Source organism: Homo sapiens, chromosome 5, assembly GCF_000001405.40.
Source record: "Homo sapiens chromosome 5, GRCh38.p14 Primary Assembly".
NCBI lineage: Eukaryota > Metazoa > Chordata > Mammalia > Primates > Hominidae > Homo > Homo sapiens.
The window spans coordinates 142980374-143002747 of record NC_000005.10 but is presented as its reverse complement, the minus strand read 5'-3'; the positions used below and the strand labels follow the sequence as shown (position 1 = coordinate 143002747).

The following is a 22374-nucleotide window of genomic DNA, read 5'->3' as shown; positions in this document are numbered from 1 at the left end:
CAAAAGAGGAAGAAAGAAATCTAAGTAATGTACAAGTCAGAAAAGTGTTTCAGGAAATTTTTAAAGGCAGCAGAAAGGGCAAAAGCTCATTTGCTATCAAGTGCATGACAGTTAAGTAGATGGCGTGCAAGCTGACATGTATGTAGGATGTGGCCAGGTCACAGTGTGAGGAGTCTTACGGCTCTAGCACTTCCTGGCTTCAGGCTGATGCAACATTAAAAAGTGGATGTGAACCCACTCATCTGTCAGCATGCCGTTTTCATGGTGAGAGGAGAGACCACCTCCCATCCTCCCAAAAGAAACTGAAATACTAAACAGAGAATGTCTTTATGTGCTCCCCTCCCCAACCCCCAACCCCCAACCCCCAACCCAGTGTTTTTGGAAATAGTTATACAGCTCTGTTAGCAGAAGAGAGAACCTTGCTCTTTTGTGCTTTAGAAAACTGCATATGAGAAATTCCTCGGGATGGTATGCAGCACACCAAAGTAGGAGCTCATAAGGCTCTTCTGCTGCCCAAGTGGGTCCCAGCCCAGGAGAAACAACGGGCAGAGAGTGAGTCACAGCACTATGCAGCTCCTTTCAACCTCCAGTCCCTTCTTCCAGGAGGTTCCGGGCAGTGGCATGCATAGCTGTCTTCATTGCAACTCGAGGCTGATGCAGTCAGACAAACTCAAAGCACGTTCATGATCGCCTTCATCCCCACAATGCCCCTTGGAGAGGCAGAAGGTGAATGTTATGTTATCCAACACAGACACAGGGAAAGGTGACTTCTTCCCTTGCCACAAACAGCTGTCAGTTCAGAGGACTGCATTTCTAGATCTATGACTCGAAGCTGAGTTTCCTACCCCAAATCCAAAAATAATCTTGATGCCAACTCGTATGCATGCAACAAGAGATTCTGAGAATATTCACTCTTTTATTCTGTTGCTTTGAGCTGGCAGTAAAGGGTATCCCCAGCACTGTGATCACATGGAGAATCTCAGTATTCTCCCACAACTCCCAAGGAGCAGAATGAGGTTTCTAAAATGGAACTGTAGATTCTAGAATTCTGCACTCTGTGTGGGTCCCCCACCTCCATCACAGGCAGAATCCACTCCACTTCCGACTCCAGGAATAGTGTGACTTAGGCCAGCCAGAACAGCACATTTACTCCCAATCCACATACCCTTATAAAAATTCTCAAACATACAGAAAAGATGAAAGAAGAGACAGTAAACATGCATATACCCATCACCTCCATTCTACAGTTGTTCATATTTTGCTATATTTGCCTTATCACATATCTAGCCATCTTTCTATCATCCATCAGTCCATCTTGCTTTTTAATAAATTTTAAGAGGAGTTGCAGATATCAGCACTTTTAAACATTTCAGAACACATATCATCTAAAGTTCAATATTTGTCCATTTTTAAATGTAAAATGTACATACAATAAAATACATAATTCTTAAGCATGCCAATCATGAATTGTGACAATTTCATATACCCATGTAAGCTAAACCTCTATCAAGATAGAAACATCAGCTCAGATAGTTCCCTCAGACCTCCTTCCATCTTACTCCCACCCCTCACACACCCCATGCACTGGCAACCACTGTTCTGTTTTGCACCCCCAATTAGTTTTGCTTATTCTAGATCACTATACAAACAGACTTACATCATATATATTCTTTTATAGCTACTCTGTTTCACTCAGCATAAATTTTTTTTTTTAAGTTCTGGGATACATGTGCAGAACATGCAGGTTTGTTACATAGGTATACATGTGCCATGTTAGTTTGCTGCACCTATCCACCCATCATCTAGATTTTAAGCCCTGCATGCATTAGGTATTTGTCCTAATGCTCTCCCTCCCCTTGCCTCCCATCCCCCAACAGGCCCTGGTGTGTGATGTTCCCCTCCCTGTGTCCATGTGTTCTCACTGTTCAACTCCCACTTATGAGTGAGAACATGTAGTATTTGGTTTTTTGTTCCTATGTTAGTCTGCTGAGAATGATGGCTTCCAGCTTTATCCATGTCCCTGCAAAGGACATGACCTCATTCTTTTTTATGGCTGCATAGTATTCCATGGTGTATATGTGCCCCATTTTCTTTATCCAGCCTATCATTGATGAGCATTTGAATTGGTTCCAAGTCTTTGCTATTGTAAATAGTGCTGCAATAAACATACGTGTACATGTGTCTTTATAGAATGATTTATATGATTTATAATCCTTTTGGTATATACCCAGTAATGGGATTGCACTCAGCATAAAATTTTTAATATTCATCCATGTTGTGGTGTGAACCAATACCTTTAGTCCTTTTTACTTCTGAGTTGAAATTTAATGTTTGAATATACCATAGTTTTATCAATTCCTCTGTTGATGGACACCTAGGTGGTTCCCTGTCTGTAGCTATCATAAAGCTGGTCCAAAGGTTTTTGTACAAATCTTTTTGAAGACATGTGTTTTCACTTCTCTTAGGTAAATACCTAGGAGTGGAACTGCTGGATTCTACAGTAGAGTTTTTTGTTATTAAACAGAAAACTTCCAAGCCTTTGTCGACAGTAGTTGTGCCATTTTACTTACACCCCCACCAATAATGTATGAGAGTTTGGGTTGCTTCACATCCTCACCAGCACTTGCCAATCTTTTCATTGTGTTGTCAATCTTCTACTTTTAGCTGTTCTAATGGGTATGCGTAGCAGTATCTTATTATAGTCTCAAACTGCATTTTTCTGATGATCCATGATGTATACTTTTTCATGTATGTATTGGGCCATCTTTTGTCCGGCGTTTCTTCAAGTCTTTTTTCTGTCTTTTAGTTAGGTTCTTCTTTTTATTACTGAGTTTTATGGGTTCTCTATACATTCTGGATATGTCCTTTGTCAGATATATGGTTTGCGAATATGTCCTCTTATTCTACAGCTTGCCAGTTGATTTCTTAATGGTGTCTTTTGATAAGCACTAGCTTTTAATTTAAATCAAGTCAATTTTTTTTCATGTTTTTGTAGGGCTATCACTTTCTATGTCCTATTACATAACTTTTGCCAATCCCAGATCGCATAGATTTTGTCCTATGTTTTCTTCTGAAGGCTTTATAGTTTTAGATTTTATGTTTATAACCTACCTTGATATTTTTTTAACCCCCACAGCAGCCAGAAAGAAAAATTCACCTTGAATTAATCCCCCTAGTTAGCCTAGTTTATAAACATTATTTAGAGGTGCTTCTGAGTCATAACCTAGATTTGAAACTCACTGGTTTTAAATACAAATTTAGGAAAAAGTAGCCTTAACCCGCCTCACTCTCCTCTTTCTCCTTCCCCCAAAACAGTTCTCATATTATAAAATTGATTCATATATCCTTTGGGAACCCTCACTATATTAATAAAACTGAGATCTGCCTCCTACCCCCTCAGCTAAAAGGACAAGCAGGTAAGTGTGCTGAGCATTGTAAAGATCTATATGCTCGAGGCTAATTTTCAGGGGACTCACCTAACTACATGGCCATCTATAAGCTATGATTTGAATGGGCAGGGAGCCCTGGGAGCTAACAAGTATAGTGGCCCTAATCAGTCACTGCCTTACTGTGGGACCCGGATCAAACCTCTTCGTCTCTCTGTATCTTAATTTCCTAAGGCATCAAAAGGGGGGCCTGAAACAAACCAGCTTTGAAATGCCATACTCTTAGTCCCTATAATTTTTAATATTTCACCATCATGAATGAACCCCTTTAGGTCCTGAAGGGCTCTCTATGCACTTTAATAATTTCATATATACATTAGGATGGTAACATCTCAAATCTTACCAGCAAACAGCAAAATTGGGATCTGCTGACAGTTGACTAGGAATAAGGTCCTGCAAATGTTGGAGGGAGTAGGAACTGGAAAGGAAAGGGACAGCAGGTTGGAAAGCTGCTGATCAGACTAGCTCACCGTCTCGTGTTGCACAGGCCATATTCTGCCTTCTTGTTTCAGTTCTCATACTGTAAACAAATGTTCTTTTCCTTTTTCTTTTTTTTTGTTCTTTTTTTAGGGGGTGGGGAAACAGGGTCTTGCTCTGTCACCCAGGCTGTAGGGCAGTGGCTCGATCACAGCTCACTGAACAATGCTCACTGAACAATGTGGTTTAAAGTTGACCTGGATGAAACAGGTTGTTAGTATGTTCACATCAAAAGCTCACAGTGCCTAGCCAAGCCTCTCTTGCTTCTTCTTTAGAGAGAACAAAAGCACACCGGACCTGAGCAACCAACATACATTTACAAACACAGCCAGCAGCCAAGGCAACCAAGTGGACTAAGCCCAGTAGGGTCCCCTCCCCAGAGTGGAGGATGGGAGAGATTAGGGCATGTCTGTCTTGAGAGCATGACAGATGAACGCACAAATCCAAAGGCTGCTTCTGGGTCCTTTCCTATCGTGCTTGATATAGCTGACCACCTGTGTCCTTTAAATGTCCACCTCTCCTTGGCCCTACTACTCAGCCCTGCTCCACAGCTCTCCACAGGTTCCTCTGCCCTGTACTAATCTTAACATAAAAGGAATATATAAATATACAAATACAATCATAAATATAAATATGAAATCTATATAAGTGCATATATACACACATACATATAGAGTCAATTTTTGTTATTTGCAGGAGTTACATTTTATAACACAGCAACAAACACTGAGTTAGCAAACACTAAACCATTGCTTCTAGGAGAAACACAGTTAGGTTCCTGCAAGCTTCTGGTTCCATTTTCATCAACCAATCAATATATAATCCTATTTTATGTGTATTTCTGTCCAAAGACATCACCTTATTCAATTTCTGCTGCTGAATTGTTTTCACTGAGCTCATATCCATCTGCATTATAATTTATGCTTGAACAAAGTTCATCTCACAAGTATTTTCATATTATGCCACAAGGCACATCATAAACTTCTTTCACTTAGACACGATATCAGCATTACATCTGGGGACCACTTTAGCAAAATCACCAAAAGAAACCACAAAATGAAAAAAAAAAAAAGTAGCACTAAATGGAGTGTGAAAAGGGCATTTATTGGGCTAGGTGCAGTATCTCCCACCTCTAATCCCAGCACTTCAGGAGGCAAGGCAGGAGGACTGCTTGGGATCAGGAGTTTGAGACCAGCCTGGGCAACATGGTGAGACCTTGTCTCTACTAAAAAAAAAAAAAAAAAAAAATCAGCCAGGCATGGGTGGCATGCACCTGTAGTCCCAGCTACCTGGGAGGCTGAGGCAGGAGGATCACTTGAGCCCAAGGGATCGAGGCTGCAATGAGCTATGATGGAGCCACTGCCCTCCAGCCTGGGTGACAGAGCAAAACCCTGTCCCCACCAACCCCTCAAGAAAAGAAAAAGGAAAATGATATTTGTTTACAGTATGACAGCTGAAACAAGAAGGTAGAGTAGGGCCTGTGCAACACCATCAGTGAACATGCACAGTGGATGATCAAAATGTTTCACCACTCTACCCATGCCTACAAATGATTGTGAAAACTCTGCAAGTATTGACTTTAGGGTTACAAATAAATTTTGGTGAGTAGATGAATTCACAAATATGGAATCCATGAATAATGAGGATATATACGTGTGTGTATATATATATACATGCACATACAATATACATATATGAATATATGTAAATGCATATATATAAAGTTTTTTGGAAAACAGCTATGCTCATTCACTTACTTGTCCATAGCTGTTTTTGTGCTACAATAGAGTTCAGTAGTTTCAACAGTCTGTTGTAGGATATGTATATATTCAACTTTACTAGGTTTTGAATGGTTGTACTAATTAAGACTCCCACCAGCAGTACATTATGAGAGTTCCATAGCCTACTCTAAAAATTCCCTAAGCTCCTCCTTGGACCTCTTTACTCATCTCTCTCTCTCTCTTTCTATAAGCCACAATTAGAAATTTCATCCATTCCCATAGCTGCAACAATGCCTCCATGCAGATGGTGCCCCACCTCTAAATCTGCAACCCCAACCTCCCTCCAGTTTTCTTTGGAGCAGACCTCCATTTCTAACTGTTTGCTGGCCATCTTCATCTAGGAATTTCCCCTAACCTCAAATCTAGCACCTATCCTTCCTACAACCACCAAGAAGGGTTTCTCAAGACAATAGGAGGGGTAACACCTTAAAACCTGTGAACAAGCCACTAAATTAGTACTTGCTTTTAGTTAGGTGACAGCAAGGCCATTGAACAGAAACACATACACACATATGCACACAAAAACCTATTTTCTTCTTTTTTTAATTTTCAAGACAGAGTCTTGCTCTGTCACCCAGGTTGGAGTGCAGTGGCGTGATCTTGGCTCACTGCAACCTCCACCTCCCAGGTTCAAGCAATTCTCCTGCCTCAGCCTCCTAAGTAGCTGGGATTACAGGCACATGCCACCAAACCCAGCTAATTTTTGTGTATTTTTAGTAGAGACAGAGTTTCACCATGTTAATCAGGCTGGTCTCAAACTTCTGACAGGTGATCTGCCCACCTCGGCCTTTCAAAGTGCTGGGATTACAGGTGTGAGCCACTGCACCCAGCCACAAACCTATTTTCATTTTTTATTATACTTTAAGTTCTGGGATACATGTGCAGAAAGTGCAGGTTTGTTACATAGGTATACATGTGCCATGTCGGTTTGCTGCACCCGTCAACCCGTCACCTACATTAGGTATTTCTCCTAATGCTATCCCTCCACTTGCTCCCCACCCCCCAGTAGGCCCCGGTATGTTATGTTCCCTCCCTGTGCCCATGTGTTCTCATTGTTCAGCTCCCACTTATGGGAGTGGGAGTTGTGAGAACACAACTTATAAGTGAGAACATGCAGTGTTTGGTTTTCTGTTCCTGTGTTACTTTGCTGAGAATGATAGTTTCCAGCTTCAACCATGTCCCTACAAAGGACATGAATGCATTCTTTTTTATGGCTGCATAGTATTCCATGGTGTATATGTGCCATATTTTCTTCATCCAGTCTATCATTGATGAGCATTTGGATTGGTTCCAAGTCTTTGTTATTGTGAATAGTGCCTCAATAAACATATGTGTGCATGTGTCTTTATAGTAGAATGATTTGTAATCCTTTGGATATACACCCAGTAATGGGATTGCTGGGTCAAATGGTATTTCTGGTTCTAGATCCTTGAAGAATCACCACACTGTCTTCCACAACGGTTGAACTAATTTACACTCCCACCAACAGTGTAAAAGCGTTCCTATTTCTCCACATCCTTTCCGGCATCTGTTATTTCCTGACTTTTTAATGATTGCCATTCTAACTGGCATGAGATGGTATCTCACTGTGGTTTTGATTTGCATTTCTCTAATGACCAGTGATGATGAGCTTTTTTTATATATGTTTGTTGGCAGCATAAATTTTGTCTTCTTTTGAAAAGTGTCCATATCCTTCATCCACTTTTTGATGGGGTTGTTTTTTTCTTGTAAATTTGTTTAAGTTCCTTGTAGATTCTAGGTATTAGCCCTTTGTCAGATGGATAGATTGCAAACATTTTCTCCCTTTCTGTAGGTTGCCTGTTCACGCTAGTGATAGTTTCTTTTGCTGTGCAGGAGCTCTTTAGTTTAATTAGATCCCATTTGCCAATTTTGCTTTTTGTTGCAATTGTTTTTGGTGTTTTAGTCATGAAGTCTTTGCCCATGCCTATGTCCTGAATGGTGTTGCCTAGGTTTTCTTCTAGGGTTTTTATTGTCTTAGGTCTTACGTTTAAGTCTTTAATCCATCTGGAGTTAATTTTTGTATAAGGTGTAAGTTTCAGTTTTCTCCATATGGCTAGCCAGTTTTCCCAACACCATTTATTAAATAGGGAATCCTTCCCCCATTGTTTGTTTTTGTCAAACCTATTTTCATCTAGCAACTGTTATTTTCTCATTGTGACATTTCTCTGTGCCTCATTACCCCATCTATAAAATGGAGAGCATACCACATAAAGTAGAAGGTAGCAGCAGCAGAGCAGCTGGCACTATGCATGGCACAGAGTAAATGCTCAGTAAACAGCAGCCAATAATCATTATCTTGGTTAATGGCATCACTTTTATCTCAGTGGCTAGACCTAAGATCTGTCCTAAGTCCTGTCTTTTCACTCCCATATCTAATCAGGTGACAATAACTGGATTCTGCTTCCAGCATGATTGTATCTTTCTCTTCAGTCCCAACAGTCCCATCTGGGAGTTCAGCACCTCCTGCTTGGAATGCCTTCACAATGGTTACTCTCTGCCTTCCCAAAAACTGCATACCCTTCATGTGGCCACAGCTCTGAAATCACTTCTGCTCAAATCCTTTATGGTTGCGTCACCCCTTAACAGCATAATGTCCAGATTTCTACATGAGGCCTCTGATAAGCTGGCCCCAACATTTCCTACCTTACTTTTCTACTTTCCCTTCCCAAACCTCATGACCATCTACATGCAACTACTAGCTGTTTCCTCATCTGTCCCATGATTTCTAAGAATCTGTGTTGCCATATTTCTTGCCAAGGAAGCCCTTCTATGCATCTCTGCCCGTGAACATCCTTCAATGCCCTACCTATACGTGCTCCTCTATGAAGCTGCCTTCAACTCCCTCAGTCTAAAATCATCTGTTCTATTTCAATAGCACTATGTTCACACCTCACACTGATGTTTTTCACTCTGAAATGCAAGGTGACAAATTTATCCTGGTAGACCAGAGGGCCTTGCACATAGCAGGCATTTAATAAATACTGGTTGAATGACATGAGGAACCAAGGCCATCTAAAATGTTGTCAATGCACATCTTAGATTCAGTTAACATTAACTTCAAAAAGTGGCTCTTGCCTATAATCCCAGCACTTTGGGAAGTGAGGTGGGAGGATCACATGCGCCCAGGAATTTGAGACTGATCTGGGCAACATAAGGAGTCCTAGCCTCTACTTAAAAAAAGAAAAGAAAAGAAAAGAAAAGAAAAAGAAATTAGCTGGGCATGATGGCATGCACCTGTAGTCCTAGCTACTTAGGAGGAAGGCTGAAGCAGTAGGATAGCTTGACCCCAAGAGGTTGGGGCTGCAATGTGCTGTGATCATGATGCCATGGCACTCCAGTCTGGGTGACAGAGCGAGGCCCTGTCTCAAAAAAAAGAAAAAAAATCAACAATCTAGTTTGTAATTAAAAATGAATTTAGGGCTGGGCATGGTGGCTCACACCTATAATCCCAGCACTTTGGGAAGCCAAGGTAGGTGGATCACCTGAGGTCAGGAATTCGAGACCAGCCTGGCCAACATGGTGAAACCCCATCTTTATTAAAAACACAAAAATTGGGCCGGGCGTGGTGGCTCACACCTGCAATCCCAGCACTTTGGGAGGCCGAGGCAGGTGGATCATGAGGTCAGGAGATCGAGACCATCCTGGCTAACAAGGTGAAACCCCATCTCTACTAAAAATACAAAAAATTAGCCGGGCGCGGTGGCGGGCGCCTGTAGTCCCAGCTACTCGGGAGGCTGAGGCAGGAGAATGGCGTGAACCCGGGAAGCGGAGCTTGCAGTGAGCCGAGATTGCGCCACTGCAGTCCGCAGTCCGGCCTGGGCGACAGAGCGAGACTCCGTCTCAAAAAAAAAAAAAAAAAAAAAACCACACAAAAATTACCCGGGCATGGTGGTGGGCACCTGTAACCCAGCTACTCAGGAAGCTGAGGCAGGAGAATTGCTTGAACCTGGGAGGTGGAGGTTGCAGTGAGCCGAGATCCCGCCACTGCACTCCAGCCTGGGCGAAAGAGTGAGACTCCATCTCAAAAAAAATAAAAATAAAAATAAAGAACTTAGGACTCAGGAAGCTCTTCAAATATGGAAAGAGTAAATTGCCATCTGTCTAGCAGCATTTTAAGTATTAAATTGCTCACTTACAGTTGTGCTCACCCCAAGAAGGTTAAGCAGTCCGCATCAGGCGAGGCACAGAACCCAGCAGTGTCAGCTATGAAAATAACAATGTCTTGGATGACAATTCATATGGTCTCTGTATGGCAGCTGATCTTTGCATACCCTATGTGCTTTAAAAAATCACTACTGGCCAGGCGTGGTGACTCATGCCTGTAATGCTAGCACTTTGGGAGGCGAGGCAGGCGGATCACGAGGTCAGGAGATCGAGACCATCCTGGCTAACATGGTGAAACCCCTTCTCTACTAAATATACAAAAAATTAGCCGGGCATGGTGGCGGGTACCTGTAGTCCCAGCTACTTGGGAGGCTGAGGCGGGAGAATGACGTGAACCCAGGAGGTTGCAGTGAGCAGAGATTACGCCACTGCACTCCAGCCTAGGTGACAGGGCAAGACTCCCTCTCAAAAAAAAAAATAAAAAATAAAATAAAATAAATAAATAAAAAATCACTGCTGCACTTCTTAAATCATCTTGGAGCCTTTCGAATCAGTTGTGAAATAGTTAATTATTCAATAGTGTTAAGATAATAAAAATCATTTGGAGGAATAAAATCAAGGTTGGTCTTCACCTTACATCTTGATGCCAAAACAAATCTCAGGTAAATATTTATCTTATTATGGGAATCCATTCAAACAAAGATAGGATGCATAAAGTATCTCACAGCCTTAATACAGAAAGAGTAATTAACACTCAAAGGTGAATACACCAAAAGAAAAAAAATGTACAAAGGATAAACTAATTGCAAAAGGAGAAAAAGAATTCAATAACCATAGGGAATATTCAAAAACAAAAAAAAGTCCTAATTATAACAATGATAATATGTTTTACTTTTTGAAAAAGTTAAGAATTTTCTTAAACTTTGGTAGCAACTAGTATAGATGTAGGCTCAGGGAAATGGATATTCCCATATGCAACTCATGGAAGTATAAATTGGCACAGTCTTCATGAAGAGCAAGCTTCAAAGATAAATATACAGTCATGCCTCACTTAATGACAGGGATATGTTCTGAGAAATGCGTTGTTAGGCAATTTTGTTGCCCTACAAACATCATAGAGTGCACTTACACAAACCTAGATGGTATAGCCTACTACACAACTAGGCTATATGGTGTAGCCTATTGTTCCTAGGAGATAAACCTATACAGCATGTTACCATACTGAATACTGTAGGCAACTGACACACAATAGTATTTCTGTATCTAAACATATCTAAACATAGAAAACGTACAGTAAAAATATGGTATAAAGATAAAAAGTGGGGGAGGTTCCAAGATGGCCAAATAGGAACAGCTCCAGTCTACAGCTCCCAGTGTGAGTGACGCAGAAGACAGGTGATTTCGGCATTTCCAGCTGAGGTAGTGGGTTCATCTCAGTGGGGCTTGTTGGACAGTGGGTGCAGCCCATGGAGTGTGAGCCTAAGCAGGGCAAGGCATCACCTTACCTGGGAAGTGCAAGGGGACAGGGAATTCCCTTTCCTGGCCAAGGGAAGCTGTGACAGATGGTACCTGGAAAATCGAGACACTCCCACCCTAATACTGCGCTTTTCCAAAGGTCTTAGCAAACGGCACACCAGGAGATTATATCCTGCACATGGCTCAGAGGGTCCCACGCCCACGGAGCCTTGCTCACCACTAGCACAGCAGTCTGAGATCGAACTGCAAGGCGGCAGCAAGGCTGGGGGAGGGGCATCCACCTTTGCTGAGGCTTGAGTAGGTAAACAAAGCGGCCAGGAAGCTCGAACTGGGTGGAGCCCACCGCAGCACAAGGATGCCTGCCTGCCTTTGTAGACTCCACCTCTGGGGGCAGGGAATAGCTGAAAAAAAGGCAGCAGAAACTTCTGCAGACTTAAACATCCCTATCTGACAGCTTTGAAGAGAGTAGTGGTTCTCCCAACACGGAGTTTGAGATCTGAGAATGGACAGACTGCCTCCTCAAGTGGGTCCCTGACCCCCGAGTAGCCTAACTGGGAGACACCACTCAGTAGGGGCCGACTGACAACTGATACAGCCAGATGCCCCTCTGAGATGAAGCTTCCAGAGGAAGGATCAGGAAGCAACATTTGCTGTTCTGCAATATTTGCTGTTCTGCAGCCTCCACTGGTGATACTCAGGCAAACAGGGTCTGGAGTGGACCTCCAGCGAACCCCAACAGACCTGCAGCTGAGAGTCCTAACTGTTAGAAGGAAAACTAACAAACAGAAAGGACATCCACACCAAAACCCCATCTGTACGTCACCATCATCAAAGACCAAAAGTAGATAAAACCACAAAGATGGGGAGAAACCAGAGCAGAAAAGCTGAAAATTCTAAAAATCAGAGCATCTCTTCTCCTCCCAAGGAATGCAGCTCCTCACCAGCAGTGGAACAAAGCTAGACGGAGAATGACTTTGACAAGTTGAGAGAAGAAGGCTTGAGATGATCGGTAAGAATAAACTTCTCTGAGTTAAAGGAGGATGCTCGAACCCATCACAAAGAAGCTAAAAACCTTGAAAAAAGATTAGACAAATAGCTAACTAGAATAAACTGTGTAGAGAAGACCTTAAATGACCGGATGGAGCTGAAAACCACGGCACAAGAACTACATGACGCAATCACAAGCTTCAGTAGCCGATTTGATCAAGTGGAAGAAAGGGTATCAGTGATTGAAGATCAAATGAATGAAATGAAGCGAGAAGAGAAGTTTAGAGAAAAAAGAGTAAAAAGAAACGAACAAATCCTCCAAGAAATGTGGGACTATGTGAAAAGACCAAATCTACATCTGATTGGTGTACCTGAAAGTGATGGGGAGAATGGAACCAAGCTGGAAAACACTCTGCAGGATATTATCCAGGAGAACTTCCCCAACCTAGAAAGGCAGGCCAACATTCAAATTCAGGAAATACAGAGAAAGCCACAAAGATACTGCTCGAGAAAAGCGACTCCAAGACACATAATTGTCAGATTCACCAAAGCTGAAATGAAGGAAAAAATGCTAAGGGCAGCCAGAGAGAAAGGTCGGGTTATCCACAAAGGGAAGCCCGTCAGACTAACAGCGGATCTCTCGGCAGAAACTCTACAAGTCAGAAGAGTGGGGGCCAATATTCAACATTCTTAAAGAAAAGAATTTTCAACCCAGAATTTCATATCCAGCCAAACTAAGCTTCATAAGTGAAGGAGAAATAAAATCTTTTACAGACAAGCAAATGCTGAGAGATTTTGTCACCACCAGGCCTGCCCTACAAGAGCTCCTGAAGGAAGCAACAATACCAGCCACTGCAAAAACATGCCAAATTGTAAAGACCATTGATGCTAGGAAGAAACTGTATCAACTAACGAGCAAAATAACCAGCTAACATCATCATGATAGGATCAAATTCATGCATAACAATATTAACCTTAAATGTAAATGGGCTAAATGCTCCAATTAAAAGACACAGACTTGCAAACTGGATAAAGAGTCAAGACCCATCAGTGTGCTGTATTCAGGAGACCCATCACATAGGCTCAAAATAAAGGGATGGAGGAAGATCTACCAAGCAAATGGAAAACAAAAAAAAGCAGGAGTTGCAATCCTAGTCTCTGATAAAACAGACTTTAAACCAACAAAGATCAAAAGAGACAAAGAAGGCCATTACATAATGGTAAAGGGATCAATTCAACAAGAAGAGCTAATTATCCTAAATATATATGCACCCAATACAGGAGCAACCAGATTCATAAAGCAAGTCCTTAGAGACCTACAAAGAGACTTACACTCCCACACAATAATAATGGGAGAATTTAACACACCACTGTCAACATTAGACAGATCAACGAGGCAGAAAGTTAAAAAGGATATCCAGGAATTGAACTCAGCTCTGCACCAAGCAGACCTAAAAGACATTTACAGAATTCTCCACCCCAAATCAACAGAATATACATTCTTCTCAGCACCAGACGACACTTATTCCAAAATTAACCACATAGTTGGAAGTAAAGCACTCCTCAGCAAATGTAAAAGAACAGAAATGATAACAAACTGTCTCTCAGACCACAATGCAATCAAACTAGAACTCAGGATTAAGAAACTCACTCAAAACCGCTCAACTACAGGGAAACTGAACAACCTGCTCCTGAATGACTACTGGGTACATAACGAAATGAAAGCAGAAATAAAGATGTTCTTTGAAACCAATGAGAACAAAGACACAACATACCAGAATCTCTGGGACACATTTAAAGCTGTGTGTAGAGTGAAACTTATAGCACTAAACGCCCACAAGAGAAAGAAGGAAAGATCTAAAATTGACACCCTAACATCATAATTAAAAGAACTAGAGAAGCAAAAGCAAACACATTCAAAAGCTAGCAGAAGGCAAGAAATAACTAAGATCAGAGCAGAACTGGAGGAGACAGAGACACAAAAAACCCTTCAAAAAATCAATGAATCCAGCAGCTAGTTTTTTGAAAAGATCAAAAAACTTGATAGACCACTAGCAAGACTAATAAAGAAGAAAAGAGAGAAGAATAAACTAGAAACAATAAAAAATGATAAAGGGGATATCACCACCAATCCCACAGAAATACAAACTACCATCAGAGAATACTATAAACACCTCTATGCAAATAAACTAGAAAATCTAGAAGAAATGGATAAATTCCACGACACATACACCCTCCCAAGACTAAACCAGGAAGAAGTTGAATCCCTGAATAGACCAATAACAGGCTCTGAAATTGAGGCAATAATAGCCTACCAACCAAAAAACGTCCAGGATCAGACGGATTCACAGCCAAATTCTACCAGAGGTACAAAGAGGAGGTGGTACCATTCCTTCTGAAACCATTCCAATCAATAGAAAAAGAGGGAATCCTCCCTAACTCATTTTATGAGGCCAGCATCATCCTGATACCAAAGCCTGGCAGAGACACATACAAAAAAGTATTTTAGGCCAATATCCCTGATGAATATCAATGCTAAAATCCTCAATAAAATACTGGCAAACCGAATCCAGCAGCACATCAAAAAGCTTATCTACCACGATCAAGTGGGCTTCATCCCTGGGATGCAAGGCTGGTTCAATACACACAAATCAATAAATGTAATCCAGCATATAAACAGAACCAAAGACAAAAACCACATGATTATCTCAATAGATACAGAAAAGGCCTTTGACAAAATTCAACAGCTCTTCATGCTAAAAACTCTCAATAAACTAGGTATTGATGGGACATATCTCAAAATAATAAGAGCTATTTATGACAAACCCACAGCCAATATCATACTGAATGGGCAAAAACTGGAAGCATTCCCTTTGAAAACTGGCACAAGACAGGGATGCCCTCTCTCACCACTCCTATTCAACATAGTGTTGGAAGTTCTGGCCAGGGCAATCAGGCAGGAGAAAGAAATAAAAGGTATTGAATTAGGAAAAGAGGAAGTCAAATTGTCCCTGTTTGCAGATGACATGATTGTATATTTAGAAAACCCCATCCTCTCAGCCCAAAATCTCCTTAAGCTGATAAGCAACTTCAGCAAAGTCTCAGGATACAAAATCAATGTGCAAAAATCACAAGCATTCCTATACACCAATAACAGGCAAACAGAGAGCCAAATCATGAGTGAACTCCCATTCACAATTGCTTCAAAGAGAATAAAATACCTAGGAATCCAACTTACAAGGGACGTGAAGGACCTCTTCAAGGAGAACTACAAACCACTGCTCAACGAAATAAAAGAGGACACAAACAAATGGAAGAACATTCTATGCTCATGGATAGGAAGAATCAATATCGTGAAAATGGCCATACCGCCCAAGGTAATTTACAGATTCAATGCCATCCCCACCAATGACTTTCTTCACAGAATTGGAAAAAACTACCCTAAAGTTCATATGGAACCAAAAAAGAGCCGCATTGCCAAAACAATCCTAAGCCAAAAGAACAAAGCTTGAGGCATCACACTACCTGATTTCAAACTATACCACAAAGCTACAGTAACCAAACAGCATGGTACTGGTACCAAAACAGAGATACAGACCAATTGAACAGAACAGAGCCCTCAGAAATAATACCACACATCTACAACCATCTGATCTTTGACAAACCTGAGAAAAACAAGCAATGGGGAAAGGATTCCCTATTTAATAAATGGTGCTGGGAAAACTGGCTAGCCATATATAGAAAGCTGAAACTGGATCCCTTCCTTACACCTTATACAAACATTAATTCAAGATGGATTAAAGACTTAAATGTTGGACCTAAATCCATAAAAACCCTAGAAGAAAACCTAGCCAATACCATTCAGGACATAGGCATGGGCAAGGATTTCATGACTAAAACACCAAAAGCAATAGCAACAAAAGCCAAAATTGACAAATGGGATCTAATTAAAGAGCTTCTGCACAGCAAAAGAGAACTATCATAAGAGTGAGCAGGCAACCTACAGAATGGGAGAGAACTTTTACAATCTACCCATCTGACAAAGGGCTAATATCCAGAATCTACAAAGAACTTAAACAAATTTACAAGAAAAAAATCAAACAACCCCATCAAAAAGTGGGCAAAGAATATGAACAGACACTTCTCAAAAGAAGACATTTATGCAGCCAACAGACACATGAAAAAATGCTCATCATCACTGGCCATCAGAGAAATGCAAATCAAAACCACAATGAGATACCATCTCACACCAGTTAGAATGGCGATCATTAAAAAGTCAGGAAACAACAGGTGCTGCAGAGGATGTGGAGAAATAGGAACACTTTTACGCTGTTGGTGGGACTGTAAACTAGTTCAACTATTGTGGAAGACAGTGTGGCAATTCCTCAAGGATCTAGAACTAGAAATACCATTTGACCCAGCCATCCCATTACTGGGTATATACCAAAGGAATTATAAATCATGCTGCTATAAAAACACATACACACGTATGTTTATTGCGGCACTATTCACAATAACAAAGACTTGGAACCAACCCAAATGCCCATCAATGATAGACTGGATTTAAAAAATGTGGCACATATACACCATGGAATACTATGCAGCCATAAAAAAGGATGAGTTGGTGTCCTTTGTAGGGACATGGATGAAGCTGGAAACAATCATTCTCAGCAAACTATCGCAAGGACAGAAAACCAAACACTGCATGTTCTCACTCATAGGTGGGAATTGAACAATGAGAACACTTGGACACAGGGTGAGGAACATCACACACCAGGGCCTGTTGTAGGGTGGGGGGGAGGGGGGAGGGATAGCATTAGGAGATATACCTAATGTAAATGACAAGTTAATGGGTGCAGCACACCAACATGGCACATGTATACATATGTAACAAACCTGCACGTTGTGCACATGTACCCTAGAACTTAAATTAAAAAAAAAAAGATAAAAAGTGGTATTCCTGTATAAAGTGCTTACCATGAATGGAGCTTACAGGACTGGAAGTTGCTCTGGGAGAGTCAATGAGTGATTAGTGGGTGAACATGAAGGCCTAAGATATTACTGCACAATACTGTAGACTTTATAAACACTGTACACTTAGGCTACACTAAAGTTATTTAAAGTGTTCTTCTTCAATAATAAATTAACCTTAGTTTACTGTAACTTTACAACCTTTTTAATTTTTTTTAACTTTTTGATTCTTGTAATAACATTTAGCTTAAAACACAAACACATTGTACAGCTGTACAAAAGTATTTTTTCCTTATTCAACAAGTTTTTTTTGTATTTATTATTATTATTTTCCTTTTTAAGCTATTTTTGTTAAAAAACCAAGACGCAAACACAAACATTAGCCTAGGCCTACACAGGGTCAGGATCATCCACATCACTGTCTTCCACCTCCACATCTTGTCCCACTGTAAGGTCTTCAGGAGCAGTAACACACATAGAGCTGTCGTCTATGATAACAATGCATTCTTCTGGAATACCGCCTGAAGGTCTTGTTTAAGGCTGTCTGACCGCTTTTTTTTTTAATAAGTAGAAGGGGTACACTTTAAAATAACAATAAAAAGCAGACTGTAGTAAATACATAAACTAGTAACACAGTCATTTATTATCAAGTATTGCATGTGCTCTACTTTTGTATGACTGAGAGCATGGTAGGTTTGTTTACACCAGCATCACCACAAACACATGAATGATGTGTTGCAGTAATATGACGGCTACAACAGCACTAAGAGATAGGAATTTTTTAGCTCCATTATAATCTTATGGGACCACAGTGGTATGTGTGGTCTGTCATTGACTGAAACATCTTTATATGGTGTGTGACTGTATATGTTCATCAAGCAAATCTACTTCTATGCATTACGCTAAGAAAAGAATCATGTATAGCAGCCCACTGAGAGATGAATGCACAGATCTGTTTCTTATATACAAAATGTTACAAATTATATACTTCTCTGAGGAAAGTGTTCACAATTTTCTTAATATTATTTCTTCTTTCATCAAAGGAGTTTCTAAGTCACTCAACACTTCTGGTTGTAGAATAGTATTTAGAAACAAGTGTGACAGCTACTGCTAATGGACTGTACAATGTCTGTTTCCTTTTCTTCCTTAATCAGACCCTTGATATGTGGGAGCAAGATTTTACCCAGCTGAAAACACACACTCCTCTTAGGAATATGACACAGTTCTGGTCAATGAGACATAAGTGGATATATACAGGCGATTTCTGGCAAACCTTTGTTTTGCTGACATAGACACCACTCCTTCCTCTTCCTGCCTTCCTTCTCCCTGCCTGAACCACAGATGTGAGGCCAGGAGGTGCAGCAGCCTACAAGGAAGACAAAAGCCTACATCCTAAAGGATCCTCCTCACTCTAAGGAGGAGTAAAAAGACACAATGAAGCTGGGTCTTTAATGGCTTCACAGAGCCACCCTATTTGTCCCATGTGGCCTATCATATATATTAATGCCTAAAACTTACTTTAAGCCATTGTTTGTTGGATTTTCAATTGTTTGCAGCAAAACTCACTGCTAAACTGACAGACATGAGAAAATATAAAAAATTAAATGAAAATCCTACTTAAAGTACAATACCTGGAAAGGGATGCATGTTTTGTTTATATATGAATAGATGTGTGTCTAGATATATATAAACACATAATGATAGAAAAGAGTTGAAAACACAAATATCATAAATTAACCACTGTTTTCTAAGATGAGTGATATTCATTTTCCTCTTCATCTTTTTAGTTATTTTCCACATTTTCTACTGTTTGTTACTCTATGTTATTCTTTCAGTCAAAAAATATAGTTTATTTTTTCGATGTAAAAATGCGTGAAAATCTGCATTCTCTTTTCTGTACCTTTATATCTATGTTCTATAGACTTTGGGATTTTTCCTATTTCTCAGACCATTTTGAAAACAATAGAAACAAAGGACCAGGCTGGTCGTGGAGGCTCACGCCTGTAATCCCAGCACTTTGAGAGGCCGAGGAGGGCAGATCACTTGAGGTCAGGAGTTCAAGACCAGCCTGGCCAACATGGTGTAAACCTGTCTCTACTAGTAATACAAAATTAGCCAGGTGTGGTGGCACATGCCTGTAGTTCCAGATACTCACAAGGCTGAGGCAGGAGGGTCGCTTGAACCCGGGAGGTGGAGGTTGCAATGAGCAGAGATTGCGCCACTGTACTCCAGTCAGGTGACAGAGTGAGACTCCATCTCAAAAAAAAACAACGAACCAGCATAGCATCTTTAGGTCTAATTCACCGTGGGGTAGCAAGGGAAGATAAGGCTCAGAGATCACAGACATACAGGTGTCTCCATTTCAGATGCACTGGAGTAGCCGGCAGTCAGGGGACCTGTCCTCCTCCACACCACCAGCCAACAAAGGGCAACCCCTTGTGGCGGGCTGGGCAAGCACAGCAATCCCAGGCAGCTCTCAGGTCACCTGCACGAAATAACCACCAACCCCAGATGCAAGGCTGCATGTGCTATCAGAGGTGGACAGGCAACTTGGACAGCTGCTTCCTGGTCACATCAGGACAACACACAGGGAAAGTCAGACCTAGAGATGACCATCCTGTAAGCCATACCCATGGCCACCTGGACTGAAGATCCCAGGGCCTCACATCAATTTCTGGTCCATCTTCCTCCCACTCCAGAAAAAACAGGTTCAACAATCCAAGCTTGTGATTTGGAGCTAGTCTGACTAACTGCAGCCACATGGTGCCTCAAAGCTAAGGAATGCATACCATTTCAAAACCTCTCAAGAAGAAAGGTATACAACAAAAGGCTAAGATCAGTCACTGGGCAGATAAAATAGCGAGGCTGGAATTGGCTCACACTGGGTGGTGAGATCCTTCCCTTCCTTTTCAGATTCCTTCCTTCCGCTATTCAGCCAATTCCACAGGACTGCCAGGCTGTACAATGGTATAATTCCTGTTCTGCAGCCCTGCCCGCTCCTTCCTGTTTAGTAAAGTCCAAACAGTAGGACAAGACACCCTCCCACTACAAGACACCCCCTGTCCTGCCCCAGAGGGAAGCCAGCAGCCATGTTTAGGGGATCACAGCCCTGATCTCACTCCACTACTGGGATTCATACAGCTGAACAAAATGATTGTTCTCATTAAAAAATGAGCCCATGTTTCATTGCCAGTGCAGGCATCCCCAAGTGCTCCAAAGCGAGTTTGCCTGGGCTAGCAGCCAGCCATCTGGACTGCTCCAACAACTTATGTAACTTGCTGGGTTTTCCACCTTTGCCTTGGGGGATGGGGAGGTGTGTGTAAGGCAGGAAACGGACTTAGATCAAACCATCAGTCCACTGTCTGAACAGCCTGCTAAACATTTGGTCACAGGGCTTTTCAGCCTTCAAAAGCAGCATAAGGTGAGCTGGATCAGTCTAGCTTACATGCAGCAGCAGCAAAAAAGCAGCTTGAGGTCAAATGGATTGGAGAAAAGACTTCCAAGTGGACTAATGCAATGAAAGCCTGCACGAGGCCTCTTCTATGTCAATAAATTACAGAGTAAAATGCAGACAGAGAAGAGGATAGCAAAATGGAAGCCTTTCACTGAGTCGGGAACTTTTGAGGTTTAAAAAGCAAGGAATGGGTGCTGAATTCATTCTGAGCCAGGCTTTGGGTGTGGTGGTACCACGACACCACTTAGGGACAAAGGCAACTCCAGTTTGGTTTTGGGCTGAGCGTTCTGGAGAAGTGAAGAGGGAGACAGGAAGGAAGACGCAATTAATCCTTTAAAGTAGAAAGTATACAGAAAGGTCATTTGATTGAAGATAATTCTGCTCTGCAGGAAAGGAGCCAAGCTGCTGCTTATAATAATAATGACTATCAAGAGCACACTCATGGCTTCAAAAAACGTTCCAAATACTAACTTGCACCCTAGCTAATAAAGCAGACTTTACAGATTTAGGAAACCAAATCATGAGGGTAGCTCATGGCCTTATCACTTCTGAATATAGGGAGGCAGAGGAAGGTGCCTGCATGGCTCAAGAAAGACCACCAGGGCATTTAGACTACATTTTGTGTTTGTGTGTTGTTAATGCTCTGTTCATGTGGCCCAAGTTGCTTCACAGAGAGGTATTTTAAGGATGCATGTCTCATTGAATCCTCCCAGCACACTGGTGAGATAGACACTGTTATTATCCCCATTTTACGGTTTAGGAAATAAGATTAGAAAGTGAATTAATACCATACTAGTGGGTAGCAAGGTTGGGACTTGAACTCCTGCTGTCGGGCAGCAAAGCCTATGTTCTTTATCACTAACCAGCTGATACTGCTGCCACATGCAGCCTCTCTATCTGCATTTTTCTTTCCATGATGACTTTTGATGTTCATAATCACCTTTATAAAAAGGATACATTTGCAATGAAAACATGGCCAAAAGATGGTACTGGTATTTCTCAAAAGATATCCAAACATCATTACTCACCCAGGAAATGAAAATAAACACCAAGTGTGACACTACAACGACAATGACAACTACTACTACGATACACACATGCCCTAGAATGGTTACAACTAAAAAGATGGATAATTCCAAGCATAGGTGAGGGCATGGAACAATTGAAACCCTCACACATTGCTGGTGGGTATGAAAATGGGTACAACCTCTTTGCAAGACTATGTGGCAATATTTACTAAGGTAAAGATTTGTGTCCCTTATGATCCAACAATCCCACTCCCAGGAATATACTCAAGAGATAAGTACTTATGGCCTCAAAACACCTGTAGAAGAACATTCCAGACAGGGTGAGGTGGCTCACACCTGTAATCCCAGCACTTTGGGAGGCCAAGGCAGGCAGATTGCCTGAGGTCAGGAGTTCGAGACCAGCCTGGCCAACATGGTGAAACCCCATCTTTACTAAAAATGCAAAAATCAGCTGGGTGTGGTGGTGGGCACCTGTAATCCCAGCCACTCAGGAGGCTGAGGTAGGAGAATTGCTTAAACCCAGGAAACGGAGGTTGCAGTGAGCCTAGATCGCACCACCGCACTCCAGCCTGGGCAACTAAGCAAGATTCCATCTCAAAAATAAAATAAAATAAAATAAAATAAAATAA

The 22374-nt window shown here is 41.5% G+C and overlaps 1 protein-coding gene across 39 annotated transcripts in view, besides 3 other annotated features; it reads right to left on the bottom strand.

Moving 5' to 3' along the window:
* ARHGAP26 (Rho GTPase activating protein 26) overlaps nucleotides 1-22374 on the bottom strand; it is a 458635-nt gene that overhangs the window by 226264 nt on the left and 209997 nt on the right. The gene's annotated exons all lie outside the window — the stretch shown is intronic.
* Nucleotides 301-370: an enhancer, noted in NCBI's record as "active region_23321". NCBI's record gives its function as "activates an Ori minimal core promoter by ATAC-STARR-seq in GM12878 lymphoblastoid cells {active_cell/tissue: GM12878}" and the evidence as "EXISTENCE:reporter gene assay evidence [ECO:0000049][PMID:35858748]".
* Nucleotides 19216-20057: an enhancer, noted in NCBI's record as "OCT4-NANOG-H3K27ac-H3K4me1 hESC enhancer chr5:142362256-142363097 (GRCh37/hg19 assembly coordinates)". NCBI's record gives its function as "activates a minimal SCP1, AML or CMV promoter by ChIP-STARR-seq in naive H9 embryonic stem cells {active_cell/tissue: H9 hESC(naive)}" and the evidence as "EXISTENCE:reporter gene assay evidence [ECO:0000049][PMID:30033119]".
* Nucleotides 20058-20900: an enhancer, noted in NCBI's record as "OCT4-NANOG-H3K27ac-H3K4me1 hESC enhancer chr5:142361413-142362255 (GRCh37/hg19 assembly coordinates)". NCBI's record gives its function as "activates a minimal SCP1, AML or CMV promoter by ChIP-STARR-seq in naive H9 embryonic stem cells {active_cell/tissue: H9 hESC(naive)}" and the evidence as "EXISTENCE:reporter gene assay evidence [ECO:0000049][PMID:30033119]".